This window comes from Homo sapiens, chromosome 15, assembly GCF_000001405.40.
Source record: "Homo sapiens chromosome 15, GRCh38.p14 Primary Assembly".
In the NCBI taxonomy this organism is placed as follows: domain Eukaryota; kingdom Metazoa; phylum Chordata; class Mammalia; order Primates; family Hominidae; genus Homo; species Homo sapiens.
The window spans coordinates 84761838-84784952 of record NC_000015.10 but is presented as its reverse complement, the minus strand read 5'-3'; the positions used below and the strand labels follow the sequence as shown (position 1 = coordinate 84784952).

The 23115-nt window shown below is 44.8% G+C and overlaps 1 protein-coding gene across 4 annotated transcripts in view, besides 5 other annotated features; it reads right to left on the bottom strand.

Moving 5' to 3' along the window:
* The window catches only part of ZNF592 (zinc finger protein 592), a 57854-nt gene that overhangs the window by 21493 nt on the left and 13246 nt on the right, over nucleotides 1-23115 (bottom strand). For 2 of the 4 annotated variants that reach the window (NM_014630.3, XM_011522246.3), the window contains exons 2-4: nucleotides 20138-20246; nucleotides 6641-6770; nucleotides 58-2296 (exon numbers count right to left, since the gene is read on the bottom strand). In NM_014630.3, coding sequence (NP_055445.2) covers nucleotides 58-2277 — 2220 coding nt within the window. In that variant the 5' untranslated portion in view covers nucleotides 2278-2296; nucleotides 6641-6770; nucleotides 20138-20246. The remainder of the gene's footprint in view (nucleotides 1-57; nucleotides 2297-6640; nucleotides 6771-20137; nucleotides 20247-23115) is intronic. The other 2 variants (XM_005254996.4, XM_011522247.3) reach the window with 1 other exon arrangement.
* Nucleotides 1278-1865: an enhancer, noted in NCBI's record as "H3K27ac-H3K4me1 hESC enhancer chr15:85326319-85326906 (GRCh37/hg19 assembly coordinates)". NCBI's record gives its function as "activates a minimal SCP1, AML or CMV promoter by ChIP-STARR-seq in primed H9 embryonic stem cells {active_cell/tissue: H9 hESC(primed)}" and the evidence as "EXISTENCE:reporter gene assay evidence [ECO:0000049][PMID:30033119]".
* Nucleotides 1866-2453: an enhancer, noted in NCBI's record as "H3K27ac hESC enhancer chr15:85325731-85326318 (GRCh37/hg19 assembly coordinates)". NCBI's record gives its function as "activates a minimal SCP1, AML or CMV promoter by ChIP-STARR-seq in primed H9 embryonic stem cells {active_cell/tissue: H9 hESC(primed)}" and the evidence as "EXISTENCE:reporter gene assay evidence [ECO:0000049][PMID:30033119]".
* Nucleotides 10903-10982: an enhancer, noted in NCBI's record as "active region_9993". NCBI's record gives its function as "activates an Ori minimal core promoter by ATAC-STARR-seq in GM12878 lymphoblastoid cells {active_cell/tissue: GM12878}" and the evidence as "EXISTENCE:reporter gene assay evidence [ECO:0000049][PMID:35858748]".
* Nucleotides 17864-18363: an enhancer, noted in NCBI's record as "H3K27ac hESC enhancer chr15:85309821-85310320 (GRCh37/hg19 assembly coordinates)". NCBI's record gives its function as "activates a minimal SCP1, AML or CMV promoter by ChIP-STARR-seq in primed H9 embryonic stem cells {active_cell/tissue: H9 hESC(primed)}" and the evidence as "EXISTENCE:reporter gene assay evidence [ECO:0000049][PMID:30033119]".
* Nucleotides 18364-18865: an enhancer, noted in NCBI's record as "H3K27ac hESC enhancer chr15:85309319-85309820 (GRCh37/hg19 assembly coordinates)". NCBI's record gives its function as "activates a minimal SCP1, AML or CMV promoter by ChIP-STARR-seq in primed H9 embryonic stem cells {active_cell/tissue: H9 hESC(primed)}" and the evidence as "EXISTENCE:reporter gene assay evidence [ECO:0000049][PMID:30033119]".

Here is a 23115-nt window from a genome sequence, read left to right as displayed (position 1 = left end):
TCATGGAACCTGTGTGAGCCAGGGGCCCGATACCCGTAACAGTGAGGGTCTGCTTACCAGCCCCTCTGTCTCCTCTGTTGTCCTCTGGAAATGTGCAGCCAGGACCATGTAGTCCCGCATCTGCTTGTGACATTCAAGACACTTGATTGAGTACCGGATGAGCCTCACAGGGTCTGGGTAGAGTGGCAAGGCTGGAGGAGGGGGACTGGCACTGCCCGAAGTGAGGCCATGTTTGGGAGAGGATGAAGGGGCTGGGGCTGCTGGTGCCGTGGAGTTCACAGGGGCCGACACGAACATTTGGTCCGCAGAGATAGGCTTCACCAGCAGCTGGGAACACTGCATGACGAGCCCCTTGCTCTTGTGGTCACGGGCGTGCCGGAGCAGGCTGCACTTGTTGAAGAAGAGCAGCGTCTTGGAGCACAGTGTGCACAGTACCTCAATGTGGACGCTCCGCCGGCCATAGTGCTGGCTCAGGCTCTTCTCTAAGGCAAATGCGTCTCCACACTCCAGGCAGCAGTACCCACTGGCCGGCACGTGGATCCTGCTGTCCGCAGGCGGGCTGAGATTTGGCGCATAGAGGGGCACGGGGTTGGAGCTGTGAAGGACCTTGTTGAAGACCTCTACAATCAGTGGGGCAGCCTTTTTCACCTGGTGGACCAGGGGCACCGACATTTGTGTAAGCTGTGGCTGGCTCCGTCTTTGCACTGAAGACTTGGCTGTCACTGATGCAGCAACACTGTGGGGGACGAGGTTCAGGTTGGCCAAGTGCACGGCTTTGGGCAGGAGGTTGGCAGGGGCCAGGGTGGATGCCTGCAGTGCTGTGCTCTGTTGCTTCTTGCCTGTCTGTGAGCCTGGGGCAGCCCCCTTTGGGACCCGGGGCCCAGAACTGCAGCTGGGAGATGACGAGTCACTGGCCTTTGTCATGCTCTCGTCCCCTTTCCTGGCCCCCTGGGGGCTCCCTGAATTTGTGCCTGCCTCAGGAAAGTGCTCTTCCACAGGCACCTCATCCCCTGGCATCTCGCTGGGGGCCTCTGCAATGGCGCTCCCTAGAGGTGACCCAACAGGGGACTTACTTGGATCATCAGGATCTGGCAGGATCCTTGTGACAGTCCGTTTGATTTCCCCTGATGATGTCTTAATGGTTTTGATTCTCACTTTGGGAATTGCTGGTGGGGAGCTGGCAGCCACAGACGGTGAGCCTTTGCTGCTGCTGTCACTGCAGATGCTACGAGGGCTGTCCGATGGCTTGATACTTTTTCTAGTGGCCTCCAGAGGGCTCCGGGGACTCTTTGGTGACTTGGGCATTTTGGGGCTACCTTTAGAACTCTCTTTAGTGGGCCCTGAGAGATCCTTTGTGTGGCCAGGCTGATCCTCCTTAGTGACACTAGCCACTCTTTTGGCCTGCAAGGCCACCAAGGCTGCCACACAAGAGGACAGCTTGGAATGAGCTGGCTTTAGACGCTGCCTAGGGGGGACTGATGAGCAGGTACCAAGCTCCCGGGCAAGCCCCTTGGACTCTCCAATACTGTTGCTAGGATGGCTGTTGAACTCCAAAGCTTCCCCGAAGAATCGAGTGGCATCCGGATCCTTGTGAGGTTCCACTGTGTTCTGCCCACTTTGCTCGTGTTCCTGCTGGCTCCCCAAGGGCAGGGGTTCTGGCTTGGGTTCTTTCTTACAAAAATGATCAAACATATGCAGCTCTGGAACCGGAAACTTAGCCAGAGCCTCCAGGACTGGGCCTCCCACAGCCCCGCACCCAAGAGGGGGTGGGAAATAACTGTCAGAGTGTTTGGGCTTTATCCCAAATCCGTTATCTTTGATGGGATCCTCAGGTTCTGGGCTGGAGATTGGACTGAACTGGTTGAAGGTGGGTAATGGCTCTGACTTGGGAGGCTCCAGTTTGCCAGGGAAACTCCTGGCACTGTCTCCATTCATAAAAGTAGAATCAAATTTCCCACAGTTGTGGGGATCTGGAGGCAGATCTGAGCCCCGGAATCCATTGTGTAGGAGACTGGGAGTAATGTGGTCTTTCTCCGCTTCAAATGACTCCTGGCGGCTGGTGTTCTTGACAATGACACTCACGGCCGGCACATCGGGGGCTGATCCTGAGTGAGACAAGGACACACTTTCATCCATACATATGCCTGGAGGTTTGAGGGGACTCTCATTCTCCTCACTGGGTGTCTGGATGGCCTCCTTGGCATCAAGGCTGGTGGGGTCTGGGATGTCAAAGGCAGCCAGAAGGTCATCAAAATCTGGGGTTTTCATATCCCCCATGGCTGGATGCTGGCAAGGGCTGTAACAGAAACAGAAAACAGAATCAGTGACCACCAGGGTCCCACTGGACCATCTTCACTACACACCCATCAAACTAATGCACACACAGCCAGCACACCCATGCAGAACCCCACATACTATGACAGGAAGCCACACACCTCAGTTTTACCCCAACAGGTTTCTAAAATGCTGGAGAGGTGGGGGCAGAGATGGAAAGAGTAGTGAAATGTAGCAACAAGCCTGCCTGGATGATCTTAAACCTCAGTACCTGGAAATTGGTGGCTGGTTATTACAAAGCCACAGAGAGTATACTCCTACCATACTCCCTCAGCTTCTCAGGGAATATCATCCCTCCACGATCATGTGCACTAGCAAAAAGCCACTTAGCACTTCCAGCCTTTAGAAAACTACTGATTAATACATGAAACCTGGCTATAACTTCTGCTAATTTACTCTTAGTAATTACTCACTAACTTTATATAACTTTGGGGTTTCTTTCTGCATAAATTCAATCAAATCCAAAATGATTTGCTATTTGTGTTGTCTCATGAATAAACTCTAGAAAATTATATCATCCCTAGGTATTTTTTCTCTGTTCAGCAGACACACTTGATTCCTTTTCACCCTAAAACTGTTATCAGTTGGTGAATGCTCCTCCATTAAACCTGAGGAACAGGGTGACTTGCAAAGTACCAACAGTTATCAAATTGGCCAAGTGACAGTTTGGGGGAAGCCTAAATTCTATTTTGACTAATATACAAAGAATAGGATAATAATTCTATTTTAAATTAATATACTTGTCTCCTTCATGATCTGGGAAAGCAGAGCTACAGAACTACTGCAACAGAGGAAACACAAGGCCCTAGAGAGACCTTCCATTAGGAAATTCTTATAAAACTCACACTTCAGATGAAACATGAAACTGGCTGGCTCAAACCTGCTGGAGGGAGAAGAAAAACCTCACCATCTCCCTTTAAGTCCTGCATCTGCTTCAGCATTCCAGGGCCTTTACTGGCTTAAGTGTTTCTTACGTCACATTTATGTTGAAAACCTTTCTGGATGCAGATTGGCACAATTCTTTCAGAAAGCAGTATGGTAGCTTCATAGAACCAGAAAAGTGGCAAACTTTAGGTCCAGGAACCCCACTTCCAGAAATTTATCCTAAGAACAAAAATTCTCAAAAACTACATGCAAAAGTATATGTTACAGCATTATTTAAAAAGCACAAAAGGGAGACATACACACAAAAATAATTTAAATGTCTAAGACCAAAAAAAAAAAAAAATACTTGATAGACTATAACGCAGTCATTAAAAATTCTCATTAAGGGCCCGTCGCAGTGGCTCTTGCCTATAATCCCAGCACTTTGGAAGGCCAAGGTGAGTGGATAGCTTGAGGTCAGGAGTTCAAGACCAGCCTGGCCAACATGATGAAACCCCATCTCTACTAAAAATACAAAAATCAGCCAGGCGTGGTGGTGGGCGCCTTAATCCCAGCTACTCCGGAGGCTGAGGCAGGAGAATCACTTGATCCCAGGAGGTGGAGGTTGCCATGAGTAGAGATCGCACCACTGCCCCCAGCCTGGGCGACAGAGTGAGCAACTCCATCTCAAAATAAATAAATAAATAAATAAATAATAAAAATTCTCATTATGAAATCTATATAGCAACAAGGAAAATTATTTATAATGTCAAGTTTAAAAAGACTAATACAAAAATGTTGTCAGACTATAACAATGTAAAACTACGCGTGCATTTGAGCCAAGATTTTTTAAAAAATGAAAATGATTACGCAGACTAGTGGAATTACTGTTGGGTTATTTTTTCAAAACTTTTTTAGGGGGCTGATAGATTGCTTTTATAATTTTTAAAGGAAAAATAACAACAACAACAACAACAACAACAAAACCCACTCAGAACCACAAGGCAGCAGGTGGCATAGCAGAGGTATATCTCTTACCACCCCGTGGGATCAACAGGTTTCCAGGTTTGGTTTCTTGCCCCACTCCCAACTCCCAGCAAAACACATCTGCCTGCATATGAGTTCTCACAGAAAATGAAAACTCACTCCCTCCCATTGGGAAGATATCTAATTATGGTAATAATAAAGTACAATACCAATTACCTAAACATGGGTTGGCAGAATACCCCACTGGAATGAGATACAAAGTTTTGAACAGAACGAATGTTTGTCTCTTGGAACAGGAGGTGTTGGAACCCATAAACAAGGGGAACATACTGGATGTCACTGAAAACAGTGGGCACTCAATACCAAGTGACCTACTAGGCAGGGTGATCATAACTATAAGGAAACTCCTGCATGATATTTGCTTTATAAGCTTCTTTTTAATTTCTTTTTTGTTCTTTCTTTCTTCTAAATGTCTAGGAAAGGCCAAGCGCAGTGGCTCACTCCTGTAATCCCAGCACTTTGGGAGGCTGAGGTAGGTGGATCACCTGAGGTCAGGAGTTTGAGACCAGCCTGGCCAACATAGTGAAATCTCATCTCTACTAAAAATACAAAAATTAGTTGGGTGTGGTGGCACACGCCTGTAGTACCATCTACTTGGGAGGCTGAAGCAGGAGAATCACTTGAACCCAGGAGGAGGAGGTTGCAGTGAGTCGAGATCTTGCCACTGCACTCCAGCCTGGGCAATAGACCAAGACTCCAACTCAAAAAAAAAAAAAAACAAAACTGTCTAGGAAAAAAAGATTGAGGGGAAAGGGCAGAATAGATTTTCCAGCTCTCATTAAGGAGCTGGAAAAAGCATGTGGGAGAAGAGGAGGAGAAGTTGATTGTGTGTCTAAGGATTAGCTGGGAGCCTGCTATTATCTAATATGAAGTTGCAGAGGCTTGAAGCAGAGAAAGATTAGATCAGAAGTAAAGCTCTCCTCATAGAGAAATCTCAGGGATTGACTGAGAATGGTCAGAAGTAAAGTAAGTATCTTTTGCTGGAAAATCAGAGCTAGTAAATAGTGTGAGAGCTCAATATTAGCAGCAGAAAAAAAAACTTTTATAGAGATTTTAGGTCAGGCACAGTAGCTCACACCTGTAATCTTAGCACTTTGGGAGGCCAAGGGAGGAGGATCACTTGAGCCCAGGAGTTTGAGAGTAGCCTGGGAAACATAGTAAGACTCTCTCTATTTTTAAAAAGAATAAGAAACATTAATAATAATAATAAATGTTTTAAATGCCAAAGCTGAAAGCCTTTAAAAGCCAAAGATCACATCCTGTTTTCTATTTAGCCCCAGTAAGAAAAACCAAAAACAGCAGCAATCAATAACTGTGAATAAGGTACTCTACCATGTACCTACATGTTTATATTTACTTGAACCTTGCTCTAAAGCATCACATTGTTTTTAAATAGAAATTAATCAAAATGTACCGTTATAAAAGCAAAAGAAGAAACTGTAAAGAAAAAGACAACCAATAAAAAAGTTCTATTTACCGAAAACCTGCCAGCACAAAGTTAAAAGGCAAACAACAAATCAAAAGGAATATTTGCAACATATAGTTATTATCATTAATATCTTAATTAAAACATAAAAAGCCCTTATAGAGGGACCTCCTCTTTCGGCTTTGGAGCCCCCCTCCCTCTGTCTCTCTACAAGGGAGTTTCTTCCTTCTGTCTTCTCCCTTCCTTCTTGCCTATTAAATGCTCCACTCCTTAAAACCACTCCACGTGTGTCCCTGTTGTTTTCTCTAAACCGGCATGAGGACCAAGAACCCTGGTGTTCCTCCACTCATCAGAGCCGTATCATTTTGGTTCATGGGCCAGGAAAAGAAATTCAATCATCAGACTGCAATCAAACTCCAAATGATGCTATAAACTGAACCACACATGCACACGCCATTCTTCCGAGGACCCTTAGATCAACCCCAGGAAGAGCCCTAGCTGCTGTTCTCCATTTGACGCCCCTTTTCAGCAGGAAGTAGCCAGAAAGAGTCATCGCCCAAAACCCCCTAACAGCAGTTAGTGTAGCATCTCCACAGGGGGAAATGTTGTAGGAAAAGGGGTCATTGGGAAGCCTTAAAGCATCTCAGGAAAAGTTTCTTGTAAAGCCCCGGCTCTTAGAGCCAGGCCAGCAACCTTTGATATGCAAGTCGGCCATTAGAAACTGGGTCCACCCAAACATGGAGATTCCCACGGCCTTCTTGCCCTTTCCCTACATGTTCCTGGCAACATGGCCAACCCCATATAACCTCACGAGTGTAGAACGTCGTGTCAACCTGCATTTGCATATTAAAAAGCTAGGGTGGGAGGGCCAGCTTTTTCTCGGGCTACGTGAATTACATGCCTAGTCAAACCAATCCCCTGAGCCCTATGCAAATCAAACACCGCCTCCTCCAGCCTCTGCATGTGTACCTGACTGGTATCCGTGGCAGGTAGGGACCTCCTCTTTCGGCTTTGGAGCCCCCCCTCCCTCTGTCTCCGTACGGGGGAGCGTCTTCCTTCTGTCTTCTCCCTTCCTTCTTGCCTATTAAACTCTCCGCTCCTTAAAACAAAAACAAAAACAAAAAGCCCTTACAAAGCAATAAGTAAAATATAAGCAACCCATTAGAAAAATGAGTGAGGGTGATGAGCAGGCAATTAAAAGAAGAAAGACAAATGGACAGACTAGAAAAAATACTCCAGAATGGAGTTACATTACAAGAATATTCCAAATGTTAAAAGTATCTAGGCCGGGCACGGTGGCTCACGCCTGTAATCCCAGCACTTTGGGAGGCCGAGGCGGGCGGATCACCAGGTCACGAGTTGGAGACTCCTGGCTAACACGGTGAAACCCCGTCTCTACTAAAAATACAAAAAAATTAGCCGGGCGTGGTGGTGGGCGCCTATAGTCCCAGCTACTCGGGAGGCTGAAGCAGGGGAATGGCGTAAACCCGGGAGGCGGAGCGTGCAGTGAGCTGAGATCGTGCCACCGCACTCCAGCCTGGGAGACAGAGCTAGACTCCATCTCAAAAAAAAAAAAAAAAAAAAAAAGTATCTCAACAGACGAAATTATTTTCTCTTTTGTTTATCTTCATTTTAAAATTATTCAAACTATGTTTCAAATTGTATTATTTACATAACTTCATTATTTTTAGCACTTTGGTGGTTATTATTTTCCCACAAGGTGGGATGACCGCTTGAGCCTAGGAGTTCAAGACCAACATAGTGAGACCCCATGCCTTTCTTTTTTTTTTCTTTTTTTTTTTTTTTGAGACGGAGTCTTGCCCTGTCACCCAGTCTGGAATGCAGTGGCGTGATCTCGGCTCACTGCAACCTCCACTTCCCGGGTTCCAGCAACTCTCCTGCTCAGCCTCCCAAGTAGTGGGGACTACAGACATGCATCACCACGCCCGTCTAATTTTTGTATTTTTAGTAGAGACGGGGTTTTGCCATGTTGGCCAGGCAGGTCTCAAACTCCTGACCTCAACTGATCCACCCACCTCAGCCTCCCAAAGTGCTGGGATTACAGGCGTGAGCAACTGCGCCCAGCCCCTCTTTTTTTTAAATGTAAAAATTTTTTTGATTATATTTTTAATATACAAAAAGGAAAAAAAATAGAAGAAACTAGGCAGGCCAAAAAATTTAAGGAGCTTCTTACAAAAGACTCTAAAAATAATATAACATTCTTTTCTTTCTTTTTTTTTCTCGCACTGTCTCCTGGGCTGGAGTGCAATGGCGTGATCTCAGCTCACTGCAACCTCCGCCTCCCAGGTTCAAGCGACTCTTCCAACCCAGTCTCCCGAGTAGCTGGGATTATAGGCACGCACCACCACACCCAGCTAATTTTTCTGTATTTTTAATAGAGACAGGGTTTCACCATGTTAGCCAGGGTGGCCTTGATCTCCTGACCTCGTATTCCACCGGCCTTGGCCGCCCAAAGTGCTGAGATTACAGGCGTGAGCTACCAGGTGTTTTGTTTTGTTTTGTTTTGAAACAGAGTCTTGCTCTGTCACCCAGGCTGGAGTGCAGTGGCATGATCTTGGCTCACTGCAACCTCCACCTCCCGGGTTAAAGGGATTCTTGTGCCTCAGCCTCCTGAGCAGCTGGGATTACAGATGTGTGCCACCATGCCCGGCTAATTTTTGTATCTCTAATAGAGATGGGGTTTCGCCATGTTGGCCAAGATGGTCTCAAACTTCTAGCCTCATGTGATCCACCCACCTTGGCCTCCCAAAGTGCTGGGGTTACAGGCATGAGCCACTGCACCCAGCCAAAAATCATTAATGTAAAATTCTTAAAGCACATCTGACATGGATCACCAGGGAAATGCTAGTTAGAAAATCAACAGAATAACTTAGTTAAAATAAAAGGTATAGTCAAAATAAAAAGTTTCAGCATACACCAGTATCTATAACCTGTTGGAAGCAGCAAGCCAAAGTTGAGAAGAGCAAACCACAGGCAGCTGCCTACCTTGCCTGGGGGCAGTCACTCAGGGACCAGAGCCATGTCCATGAACACCAGCCCAGGAACCATGGCCTGGCCTACAGAGCCTTTGTCAGAGGCTCACCCTGAAGCATCTGAACGAGCTAGATAGATCCAGACCTGGTAAGCTCACTGAGTGATCTAGAACAGCCTAGTCAAGAGGCAAGGCAGGATCACTGGTTTGGTGGCCTAGGCTGAGAGTAAATTTCACTCAAAGGTGAGATAGTGGAATTATGTAACAATATGAACAGTCCCCTTGGGGGTAAAGAACAACTCTAAGACTGGCAGATTGACAACTATACCCTCTCTCAGAATAAGTTTCTACCTAGGGAATATCTGGAAATATTTTTTAAAGATGAATATAAATTCATATTGTTTATTACAGAGTCTACTACTTTGCCCAGAAAATTTTACCAAACATTTAAGTAAACATATCAACTAGATGTGGGTAAGGAGCATCTTAGTTTTGAAAGGGCCTCAGCATGCCGAATCACCCTATTGGAATTATTTGAGGGTATAAAAACAATATGATTCGGCCGGGCGCAGTGGCTCATGCCTGTAATCCCAGCACTTCGGGAGGCCGAGGTGGGCAGATCACTTGAGGTCAGTTTGAGACCAGACTGGCCAATATAGCAAAACCTCATCTCTACTAAAAATACAAAAATTAACCAGGCATGGTGGTGTGCACCTGCAAACCCAGCTACTCAGGAGGCCGACGCAGGAGAATCTCTTGAATTCGGGAGGTGGAGGTTGCAGTGAGCTGAGATCGCGTCACTGCACTCCAGCCTGGGCAACAGAGCGAGACTCTGTCTCAAAAAAACAAAACAGAACAACAACAACAACAACAACAACAACACCCAGTATGATTAGCTGGATGCGGTGGCTCATGACTGTAATCCCAGTACTTTGGGAGGTTGAGGTGGGCAGATCGCTTGAGGTCAGGAGTTCGACACTAGCCTGGCCAACACAGTGAAACCCTGTCTCTACCAAAAATACAAAAATTAGCCAGGTATGGTGGCAGATGTCTGTAGTCTCAGCTACTTAGGAGGCTGAGACCGGAGAATCGCTTGAACCAGGGAGGCAGAGGTTGCAGTGAGCCAAGATTGCACCACTGTACTCCAGCCCAGGTGACAGAGCGAGACCCTATCTTAGGAAAAAAAAAGAAAAAGAAAAAGAAAACAGTGGCCAGGTGCTGGGACTCATGCCTGTAATCTCAGCACTTTGGGAGGCCAAGGCAGGTGGATCACCTGAGGTCAGGAGTTCAAGACCAGCCTGACCAACATGGCAAAACCCTGTCCCTACTAAAAATACAAAAACTAGCTGGGCGTGGTGGTGTACACCTGTAATCTCAGCTACTTGGGAGGCTGGGGCAGGAGAATTGCTTGAACCTGGGAGGCAGAGGTTACAGTGAGCCGAGATCACGCCATTGTACTCCAGCCTGAGCAACAGAGTGGACTCTGTCTCAAAAAACAAACAAACAAACAAACAAAAACCAGTATGATTATATATAATTATGGCAGAACTAGTAGACTAGTAGACAGAATTTCTACAGACTTTAAATGCTAAGATCCCACCAAAAAAAAAACAGAACAAAATAACAACTGACTTCCATAAAACTTGGGTGAATGTATGTTGTCTGTGTGCATCCGTATATATGTCTTCATGTAATTCCCATTCATGGGGAAATATAAACAGAGCTTTTAACCCATTGACTAATTTTGGACTAGTGATTTATGCTTTCATAAATTACCTAGAATGGTGGTTTCCAACCCATAAGGGAACCCAGCTTCACCTCCAGATATGTGTGCTCAAGGACCAGCCATTAGACACACCACTGCTGAATAAGGACTCATGAAAAATTTATTTTAAAAAGGAAGTCTTCATAATTATATAAATGCTTTGGGACCCAATAATCTAGCAGAAGAATGTTAGGATGTAAGTTTCATGAAGGAAGAGGCTTATCTATTTCATTCATCACTGGATTCCCCATTAGGTACTCAATAAGTATTTGTAGAAGCAATAAAGTAAAACCTTCATTTGCAAATGGCCTTAAAGCTGTTCCTAATCAAAAAGCAAAATTAAAAGACAGGTTCTCATGAGGCTGCATAAATAGGCAAAATTATAGCAAGTGACCATCAGTGAAGGCAAATGTGAAGGAACATTCAGGGAAAAGCAATACCAATTATACTTTTAGAATAATGGATTTTAAGCTACACTGTTCAATCAGCTTAGACTGTTCCCTTAAGATACCACATCGCATGTTTCATCACAAAAGGCCCAGAAAATGCTAGGCATTATCAGAAAGAACACTCTAAGCAAAGCAGAACTTGTGATCCTGCCCTTATTCAAAACCACTGTGTGTCCATAGCTACGTGTGCTGTGCAGTTTTGGTTCCCCATACCTCAAGAAAAACATACCAGAGTTGGAAGAGGTCCTGCGAAATCTCAGAGATTGAAGTTGTAAAGTAAATGAAAGGGCTTTCTAATGAGACCCTAAAAATTAGAGCTCTATTTTTTTTTTTCTGGAGAGATGAAAATTTAGGAGAAAGGGGAAAGTATAACTAACTTATAGGTTTGTTCATCAAACCTCATAATACTAGAGAGAAGAGGGCAGTATTTTGAAGTTTGAAATAAAATATGTACTGGGCTTGGACATTCCCAGGGTGCTCTGTAGATCTTCTCCCCTGGATGGGGACAAGACAGGGCCCCTCTCTGAACTGGCCTTTTTACTAAGAGAATTAAACCCCTGGTGGGGGCCGGGCGCGATGGCTCACGCCTGTAATCCCAGCACTTTGGGAGGTCGAGGCGGGTGGATCACGAGGTCAGGAGATCGAGACCATCCTGGCTAAAATGGTGAAACCCCGTCTCTACTAAAAATACAAAAAATTAGCTGGGCTTGGTGGCGGGCACCTGTAATCCCAGCTACTCGGGAGGCTGAGGCAGGAGAATGGCGTGAACCCGGGAGGCGGAGCTTGCAGTGAGCCGAGATCGCATCACTGCACTCCAGCCTGGCCGACAGAGCGAGACTCCGTCTCAAAAAAAAAAAAAAACCCTGGTGGGTGGTGACTTGTTAAAAAAAGAAATAAAAGATGTAGACAAAAGATGATTTTATCTATTGTCAGAAAATATCCTGAATTATCACTTTAAAAAAATATATAAATGTAGTAACATTCACATATTCAAATCTAAAAATAAAAAAGGCTCTGAGGAACTAAGAACAAGGACTTAACACTGAACCCATGAGGTTTTCCCCCCTGCATAAAGCCTTCAAATTTCAAATAACATTAAACTTTGCCATCTGTTACCTCAGCAATGCTAAGTTCAGTAATAGTAGATTAATAAAAGTTCAGTAACAGGACATTAAGGAGGCAGAGGGACTCCAAAAAGCATTAAGAAAAATTTGATCTCTAGTTAATATATTCTGTTTAATAAGACAAGGAAGCAAATAAAAGCTTGCATATTTATAAAATGAAAGTTAAAGGCAGCATGATTTAAGGAACGCTGAACTGTGAGAGAGAAAAAAAAAAGTTTTCTTGAATTTGCCATTGTTCGTTGTATTAGGACTGGAAGGAAGGAAGGATGGATGTTTCACAACCTGTGGGTGAACTCTCAACCCTGCTCCCCCACATGACTGACTATGGCTTAAATACTGATATCATTTGTGTTGCATTATTGCTTGTAATTAAGAGTTTTTATTTATTTATTTGTTTGCTTTGAGACAGGGTCTCACTCTGTTGCCCAGGCTGGAGTGCAATGGTGTGATCATAGCTCACTTCAGCCTCCACCTCCTGGACTCAAGTGATCCTCTCGCCTCAGGCTCCTGAGTAGCTGGGGATGCAGGTGTGCACCACCACGCCTGGCCAGTTTTTTTATTTTTGTAGAGACAGGGTCTCCCTATGTTATACCAGGAATGGAAGCAGACAAGGGGAAAGTCAGAATGAGCAAACAAGTTCAAGAGTAAGCTGCTGCTCCCAAGACGTGCAGGAGCCTCGCCTGAACTCAAGCAGGAACATTAATCATCGAGACACCACTTCCATGGGTTACGGTAGTGAAGGGAACTTAGTGAAACTTCAGTAGGATCAGAGGAAACAGAAAAAAGAGGCTCATGTTCCTGGACCCAGAACAAAGCCCCAGATTGGGAATGGTATAGCTAAAAGAATAAGGAATTGTGACCACATGGAATTGGCTTTCACTCCTATGGTATCAATAGTTACTTGTGTGAAGACCTTAGGTAGGCATTGGTTTAGTATGTAAAATTAAACTAACTTTAAGGATCTCTGAGTCCTTGAACAGGTTAGGCTGCAACAGCTGGGCAAATTAATCTAGATCTTAGGGATTTCTACATAAAAATTAACTGCTAAAGTGGACAAGCAGACTCCATGGCGTATATATCTCACTGGCCTCTTGAATACACATCTGAGGCCTGCTTATAGGTCTATATCACTCCAAGTCTCAGATGTTCTGAATCAGTCAATGGCCAATGTTTCATTTCATGAGGCACCTGCTATTCAAGCCAGTGGCAAAAAAAATGGCCCAAAGAGATTCTCAGCAGTACGTAAGAAACAGCTGCCCCAGTGGGCTCAGGCAAAAACAAACAAACAAAAAAAACGTTTTTTACTTGTCTTTCCTCCACTTAGTGTAGCCCCTCTAATGCACATGTTGCCATAAAATTTGCTGTGAAACATACATCTGATCACCAAGATGTCCCTTCAGCCTCTCATGGAGGATGCATTCCAATGTGGTCTCTGCCCCTCTCCAGCCACTTGCCAGGATACCTTTCATTCTGACCCCAGTGGTGGTTCTCTCACACTTTCTCGTGCCTCTCTGCCAGGGTTTGAGCTATCCCCCTGACTAGAGAATACCTGATACCCCAACCCACCAGGGCCTCAAACACAAACCTAAGAACTCCTCATCCCCAAGTTTCAGCTCCAGGGTCCCCTTCTGATGCCTTCTCTGAGTACTGCAACTCCAGTGCTCTGCCCTCCTCCTGCTCCACTTTTCTCCTGACACCCAAGCCTCTCTTCCTCTATGGCAGCACTTCTCACAGGGGGCTGGAATCATTCGTTTTCTCATCAGTCCTTCCCATCAGTATGTGAGCCTCTCCTGTGTGGGGGTCATGTCTTTCCCCTCTATTTCCGTGACCTAACACACCTGGCTCCCCATGGCAGGTGAGTTGTCACTGCTCCCACTGCTCCCGGAGCCATTCCTGGATGTCTCTTCAACCCCCTGGCTGATGTACCTGCCCCTGCTTGCCCTGTGCAAGGTGTCCTTCACCCAAAGGCAGCTTCTCCTCTCCCCCTGCCATGCCTTTTCCACGCCAACCAAAGATTTCAAGGACAGAATTATACTGCGAACATTCTAACAAGACTCATAAGATGTTAAAGCTGAAGGGGCCCTTGGAAACTATCTGGTCCAGGGGCTTCCAAATGCCTGTCTGAAGGCCGCTGCTGGACAGACTGCAAAAGAGTAACATGGGGAATGACTTAAAAATACAGATACACAGGCTCCACCATGAAAATTCTGATTCAATATGTCTAGGATGGATTCCTGCTTTTTGGTTGTTTTTTTTTTAAAGCTTCCCAGGTGATTCCACTGCACCGGTCTAGTCCAAACTCTTCATTTTTTATACATGGAGAACTGAGGCTCAGAGAGGGGAACAGTCACCAAATGCTAAGACTTATGACTGGCACTGAGGGCACAAAGCTGAAGGCCCAGACCCTGCTCTTGAGCACCTACACATACATAATCCACTGGAAACATCTGTGGGCACCACTGAGGCTCATCAAGGGCACAGAATTCCTACAGAAGTCACCTCACTCTCCCTTTTGCTCCCTTTTGCTTTATTTATTCTTCCTCACATCATAATTTTCTACCTGTACTGTAGTTTACTGAACATTTCAGTAAAGTGTTCTCTTTCCTGCTATTTTATAAGCCCCTCAGTAGACATTCACTAAATTATTGTTATTTCTAGATTTGGATCTCTACTTGGATATCTAATAGGCACCTCAGATCTACTATGTCTAAAATCTAGCTCTTGATTTCCTCCTACAGCCTTCCGCATTTCAGTAAATGACAATGCCATTCTTCCAGCTGCTTAGGCCTAAACCTCTCTTTCTTTCACACCCTTCATCCAATCCACAAGCACATCCTGTCAACTCAACCTTCAAAATATATTCAAGTCCAGCCATTTCTCACCACCTCTACCATCATCTCTCTCCTGTGTTCCCACAAAAGCCTGCCAACTGATCTTCTTGCTTCCACCCTTGCCTCTACTAGTCATTCCCAACACAGCAGCCAGAGTATTGCTTTTGAAACATACGTTGCCACTGGGCACAGTGGCCCATGCCTGTAGTACCAGCTACTCAGGAGGCTGAGGTAGGAGGATCACTTGAGCCCAGGAATTTGAGGCTGCAGTGAGCCAGGAATGCACCTGAGGATAGCCACTGCACTCCAGCCTAGGCAACACAGTGAGACCCCATCTCAAAAAATAATAAGATAATTTAAAAATCTTAAAGCACACATCACATCATGTCCCTACTCTCTTCAAAACCCTTCAACACCATCCCATCTCCCTCAGAGTGAAATCCCATCTTTCCCACAGCCTCCACAGCCGGGATGATCTCACTGCCCCCATCTCCTATGCCTCTCTCTCACCCAGTCTGTCCAGGCACACAAAGGCCTCCTTACGTTCCTCAGGCATGCTGGTCATGCTCCATTCTGAGCCTCTGCAGTCACCACTCCCTCTGCTTGAAACATTCTCCCACCAGATCTCGGTGGGCTCACTTCCTCACTTCTTCAGGCCTTTAATCCAATGTCACTTTGTCAGGAGCCTTCCATGACCGTTCTACATGAGACACCAATCCCCAACCCAACCATCAATCTTTATCCCTTTACACTGCTTTATTTTCTTCCCAGCACTTATCACCACCTAGCATATATTATGTAATTGTTCATTACCTTCTTGTCTTTCTGTAAATTCCAGTGTGTTTACAGGAAGGTAATCCACCATTAGAAAGAAGGAACAGGCCAGGCACAGTGGCTCATGCCTATAATTCCAGCACTTTGGGAGGCAGAGGTGGGCTGATCACCTGAGGTCAGGAGTTCAAGACCAGCCTCACCAACATGGTGAAACCCTGTCTCTACTAAAAATACAAAAATTAGCCAGGCATGGTGGTGGACACCTGTAATCCCAGCTACTCAGGAGGCTGAGGCAGGAGAATTGCTTGAACTCAGGAAGTGGAGGTTGCAGTGAGCCACGATCGTGCTATTGCACTCCAGTCTGGGCAACAGATGGACACCATGTCTCAAAAAAAAATAAAAGAAAGGAGGAAGAACAATTTGACAAGCTCATTTGTCCAGAATTAAGATTGTTCAAGATAATCACAGATTCCCAAGTGGGCTTATTATGAATCAAACATTTTGCAAATATGCAAATTTTTGTTTCACTTTTTAAAATTTTAGAGAGACCTTCAGTGGTTATGGGACCTCGCCAGTGGGAAGGGGTCTACCTAAAGTACCCTTGTCTATGAATCCTGGATCCCTGTAATGGCTGATTAAATTAAATATTTTATCAGTGGGGGGTGCCTATTGGCCGATGTCCCATAAGGTCATTTGTTTTGAGGATGGGATCAGTGTGACACCAGAGGAAAGAAAAGGCTAGCTCTGAGAACCATAGGGAAGAGGTAGGTACAGGGTGGGAATGAGTCTTAAGAAAAAAAGACACAAAAGGCTGGGCACGGTGGCTCATGCCTGTAATCCCAGCACTTTGGGAAGCTGAGACAGGTGGATGACTTGAGGTCAGGAGTTCAAGACCAGCCTGGTCCACATGATGAAACCTTGTCTCTACTAAAAATACAAAAATTAGCCAGGTGTGGTGGTGCACACCTGTAATCCTAGCTACTTGGGAGGCTAAGGCAGGAGAATCGCTTGAACCCAGGAGGCAGAGGTTGTAGTGAGCTGGGATCGCGCCACTGCACTCCAGTCTCCAGCCTGGGCGACAGAGCACAACTGTCTCAAAAAAAAAAAAAAAAAAAAGAAAGAAAGAAAGAAAGAAAAGGAAAGAAGATAAGAAGATACTGGCTAGGCACTATGGCTCGTGGCTGTAATCCCAAGCGTGAGGCCAAGGCAGGTAGATCATTTGAGGCCAGGAGTTCAATACCAGCTGGGCAACATGGCAAAACCCCATCTCTACAAAAAAAAAAAATTAAAATTAAAATTAAAATTAGCTGGGCGTGGTGGCACATGTCTGTAGTCCCAGCTACTCAAAAGGCTGAGGTGGGAGGATTGCTTGAGCCTGGGAGGTTGAGGCTGCAGTGAGCTGTGATTGCACCATTGCACTCCAGGGTAGGTGACACAGCAAAACCCTGTCTCAAAAAAAAGAAAAGAAAAGAAAAGAAACAAATAAAAAAAAAGAAAATACAAGTCCGTGAACAAACTGAAATACCATTGAATTGTGCACTTTAAATGGGTAAATTGTATGGCATGTGAATTATATCTCAATAAAGCTGCTATATTTTTTAAAAGATAGAAAAAGACAGAACTGGAGGGAGCTGGGATTATACAAGACAATAAAACTGACTGGGACAAGCAGAAACTAGGCATAGGCAGCAAGCACAGTTTACACAGAGCTGACAATTTAGATACAAACTGATACTTTGTAACCCGTACCCCCTTTACCTTTCCTTCTTTGCAAACAGATCTCAGCAATAACCTAGCACCACACTTTGTTAGAAGGAAACAGGACCCAGAGATTTGAGAAAAAGGGGGACAGGACTCCTCTTGTTCACACACCATCCTGGTGTGTTCCTCCCAGTAAACTTTGTAAATGCATCATCTCTTGGTAGTGGGGACCCCTAAATTTAAGCAAGAAGCCAGCAGCCTCAGACCTGCTGGGAACCAAGCCTCAACTTCCGACGCAAAGGACCCTAGAAAACAGTGTTGGCCGGGTACGGTGGCTCACATCTGTAATTCCAGCACTTTCGGAGGCCGAGGCGGGCGGATCGCCTGAGCTCAGGAGTTCGAGACCACCCAGGCAACATGGTGAAACTAAAAATACAAAAAATCTCTACAAAAATACAAAAAAATTACTAAAAATACAAAAAAATTAACCGGGTGTGGTGGTGTACGCCTCTAGTCCCAGCTACTTGGGAGGCTGAGGCAGAAGAATCACTTGAGCCCCAGAGGCGAAGGCTGTAGTGAGCCGAGATCACGCCACTGCATTCCAGCTTGGGCTACGGAATGAGACTCCATCTCGGAAAAACAAAAAGAAAACAGAAAGTGGCCATTTCACAGGATCACTCTTTCTTTGGTGGTTTTGAGGGTGCCACCAGTCTTATCTACCACAGACAACCTACAGTTCCAAAGCTTCCTAAACTGACAGGTCTGGAGGGACACGAGGAGCATGCTATTACTCTTAGAGGCATCCCTATGGTTGCCTTAGATCACCACAGGAGTTTACGAGCTGGTGAGTCAAAGGGCTGGTAAAGTTTCTCTCCCAAGTGTTCTGTTCTTATTCCCCTTTTCTTACACACACACACACACACACACACACACACACACTCTTTCTCATCCTCTCTCCCTCTATTCCTTCCTCCACGGTACACTTTCTCTCCCTCTCTTCTCTTCCCCTGTCCTCTCTCTCTCTGTCTCTCTATCCGCCCCCCAACTCTCCAGCTCCTGCTCTCTCCCTCATGCCTCTCTTCCTCCCTCTTCTCTCCTTCCCCTCTCAACAGAGATCTGGGTGTGCTCTTTCACCATGACTGCTCAGACCTGAGGGAAGCCAGCCTTCAGCAAGAAAGTAGGGCCCCAGCCAAAGCAGCCTTTCACCAACAATCCAGCATGGCAACGGATCCAATATCCAGGTGTTCTGTATGTGCCTATTGTATGTCCCTGGTGATCCAAGGGAATGATAACCTAACATGTCCCTATGTGCCTTCCTATGATTAGACAAATGGACTATTAAGAGCCTTCACATAGTGAAATGTTTACAGATAAAATGATGTGACATTTGGAATTGGCCTCAAAATAACACAGGGCAAGAGGAAGACAGCAAGGAGGGGACACATAAATGAAACAAGATTGACCATGTAGCCAGGCACGGTGGTGTGTGCTGTAGTCCCAGCTACTCGGGAGGCTGAGGTGGGAGGACTGCTTGAACCCAGGGGGTAAAGGCTGCAGTGAGTCTTGATCACACCACTGCACTCCAGCTTGGGTGACAGAGTGAGACCCTGTCTCAAAAAAACAAAACATAAAAAAAAAAAAAGGACCATGAATTGATAACTACCGAATCTGAGTGAGTACACAGAGGTTTATCATATTTTTTTTCTATATGTGTACATTTCAACACAATAGGGACCCACCCCTTGGCTAGTAGACTTTATGGGTCCAATCACACACTCATCAGGATGGCTATTATTTAAAAACAAAACAAGTCTGGGTGCGGTGGCTCATGCCTGTAATCCCTACACTTTAGGAGGCCGAGGCAGGCAGATCACAGGTCAAGAGATGGAGACCATCCTGGCCAACATGGTGAAACCCCGTCTCTACTGAAAATATAAAATTTAGCTGGGCATGGTGGCATGCACCTGTAGTCCCAGCTACTCAGGAGGCTGAGGCAGGAGAATGGCATGAACCCGGGAGGTGGAGGTTTCAGTGAGCCAAGATCACATCACTGCACTCCAGTCTGGCAACAGAGCAAGACTCTGTCTCAAAAAAAAAAAAAAAAAAAAAACAATAATAACAAGTGCTAGTGAGGATGTGGAGAAATCAGATTCCTTGTGCATCGCTGGTAGGAATGTAAAATGGTGCAGCTGCTATAGAAAGCAGTTGGCAGTTCCTTAAAAAATTAAACAGAATTACCATATGATCCAGCAATTCCACTTCTGGGTATATACTCAAAAGAATTAAGAGCGGGAGGACACAAGATACTTGTACACCCATGTTCATAGCAGGATTATTCATAACACTCAAAGGTGGAAGTAACCCAAGTATCTATCAACAGATGAAAGGATAAACAAAATGTGGTATATACACACAATGGAATATCATTCAACTTTAAAAAGGAAGGAAATTCTGACACATGCTACAACAGACAAATACTGAATGATTCCACTTACATGAGGTCCCTAGAGTAGGCAAATTCATAGAGACAAGAAGTAGAATTGGTTGCCAGGGGTTAGCAGGAGAGAGAGAGGGAGTTACTGTTTAATAGGTACAGAGTTTTAGTATGAGATGATATCAGGTTCTGGAGATGGACAGTGGTGATGCTTGTACAACTGTGAATGTATTTAATGCCACTGAGCTGCACACTTAAAAATGGTAACTTTTGTTATATGTATTTTATCATCAAAAAAAAACAAAACAAAACAAAACAAAATCCAGGGAACAAAAAAATCTCATGTTCAAACTCTTGGCTTTTCAAGGCCAGTTCAGGTCAGCCTAGACATCATACCTTAGAGAGGATCTCAAAACAAGGGTGTGGCGAGCGTTGCTAGGGGAGCAGAGCTGCGGAGAAAGGAAAAACTTCTACCTAGGCACATGGTCTAGAGTCCAAACACCACCTAAGGAAAGAAGAAAAACAAAATTTTTTTTAAGTGGGTCTGAAGGTAAGTGTTAGAGTAAGGAAAGATAGTTTAAAAAAACTAATAATAATAATCCAAGTGTAAGTAAGACCCTGAGAAAAATCCCCAAATGTAAATTCAAGCAGGCCACAAATGTAGTCAAAGACAAAACTTTTCCCAGCTCCACGTCTGCTCCCCTCCCTCTATTACAGGCTGGTGCTTCAGAGCACAGACTCCATCCGGGTTCAAATCCTAGTTCTACTACTTACTAGCCTTGAGACCTGGGGGAAGATTCTTCATCTCTGTCTGTTTCCCCATATGTAAAATGGGCTATTATAGGGATCAAATGAGTTAATATTTATAAAGCTCTTAAAACACTGTCTTTCACATAGCAAATACATGTTTGTTAAGCATTATGCCACCAACCTCAGTGGCCACCAAGCTTTCCCTCCTAAGTTTTCAGAGTGCCCCAGAAATTGCATGCAGAGAGGACAGAAAGACAAGGGAAGTAAAGCCGGGTTTAGTTTACCCCTCCACACAACTCCTCCTCCAGTGCTCGGGATGCCCGCTGAAGCTGAAGAAGCAGAGGGCCAAGCAGGGGCCAGGGGGGCAGGTGAGCTGCAGAAATCATGGCGGGGGCAGATAGCAGTGTAGGAAGAGGTCAGCACAGAGCAGGTGATGAGAATGAGGGTCAAAAAGAGGAAAGTCGGCAGAACTCTTTTTTAAAAACTAGGTGATCCCTAACTGTAGCCAAACATGAGAATCACCTTGAGAACTTTGGAAGCTACTAATACTTGGCCACTACCCCTCTAAGATTCAGATTTAATTGACTAGCGTTGAGAAACACTGGTTAACGGCCCATCAACTACATATACCCACAAGTTACCTAATAAAAGGACTCATTCCCTGAATTTCTCGTTCTGCCCATTCTCACTCTAATCCTGCATTCCCTCGCTTGACTTCATTTTTGTCCAGTTTTGACAGACCAACATTTAGTTTGGATTCTAAATAGTAATACAGACAATATTAATGTAAAAATGTAGAAGGGAAGGGAAAGAAACTAATTATCTCAATTCTACAGAAAGAAACTAGAGAAAACTTTCCTGAAGTTTTTCCTTTTCTTATTTGGGCTTTCACATTTCAAAACATAAACTAACAAGCAGACACTGTGCTGTCCAAATGAGGACAAAAGTTAGAGATCAGGGGCCAAGGGGTGTCTTAGGTCTGCTGTCCAATAGTAAATAAATTGGGAGGTGCTCCAATGAGTATACTAGGTTATTTACTCCAGATTAACCTTGGTTCCTCTGGCCACCAGTTTCTGTTGGGTTATCCAGACAGTCTCTCTCACATGCGCAATCATGCAGTTTGGATGCAGAATGGCTAACAAACCTGAGTGTCAGGCTTCACTTCCAGGCTGGCTGCTTCTCCCAGGTCACCCTAATCACACACGCATGCTTGGATGTGTAGGAATCTTACAGTTTATAACACACTCTTCACACTGCACAAGGAACTCACCAGTGAGTGAACTAAGACTGGCACTCAGGCTCCTGCCTGCCCCCAAGGACCAAGCTGCCCCTGTACTTTGGACTCCAAACCAGCAGGTCAGTTTTCACATTTCAAGTTTCCCAACACACTCATCTTCCCAAGGTGCTACTGAATAGGGCACAAATTTTCCTTCAATTTGGTATTGAGACATTCACCACAGCCCTTGCCATAATGATGACACAACTTAGAGTGTTATAAGACCAAGATTAGACAACATTGCTCTAGAACACTGTTCTAGATTAGAGCTTCTTCCAACACTAGAAAGATTCAGGACTATCGGAGCCAAAGAGATTCTAGAAAACCATTAAATTTAAACCACTTACTCTACAAGCAAGGAAACTGAGGCCCAGAGAGGTGAGGTAATCAAATAAGAAAAGGGACATAAACTGAAGAGTTTTTATTACTGTGGAAGATTCCTGTTATTCCTGGCAAGGTCAGGGGGCCCTTGCTTGCCCTTCCCATCAGAGCAGCTGAAGTCTCCTACTCACAGTTACCCTTCAAATCTCTCCACCAAATACAGGGGATAAGGCTTATTTAACCCTCAGACCAGTGCTTCTTAGACCTGGAGCGATCCTAATGCCTAACCCCAGCTCAGACCAATTAAACCAGAAATTACAGAGGTGGAGCCACCATAGGATCCCCAAAATCCGTACCTTCCCCCATGGGTTCCTTAAACCCTCCCCAGCCTGAAGGGCTTTTGCACTTGCTCTTTTCTCCAATCTGATTGCTCTTTTCTCAGATATCTGCGTGGCTCCCTCTCTCACTTCCTTCAGACCTCCGCTCAAAGGCCATTTAATCCATGAGATTTCTCTGACTTCTCAATTTAAAATAGAAGACCTTCCTCCCCACCAAACCCCTCATCCACCAAGCCTGCTTCATTTTTCTCCATAACACTTTTCACCATCTCTTATATTTTATCTTACTTATTATCTATAAATGCATACAAACCAGAATGAGCCCTATAAGAGTAAGATTTGTGTTTATTTTGTTCCTTGTTATATTCCCAGTGCCTAGAATAGTGCCTGGCACATAGCAGACCATCACATATATACTCTAAATGAACACATCAGGAACACAAATCTCAAAATATGACTCATACCAAAAGATCATAAAGAAGCAGCCGTTTGGTTGATTATACCAAAAACACTTCTTCACTGATCTCATCTTGGCACAACCCTTATCAAAAACAGGATAGAAGCCTAATGAAACAGAAACCATTCAGAAATACTTTCAGAAATAAGTATTTCTAGACAATTAATCCAATCCAATGGGTTTGTTCGTCAAAGACAATTTGTTCTGAGAAATAAACATACGGAAACAGAAA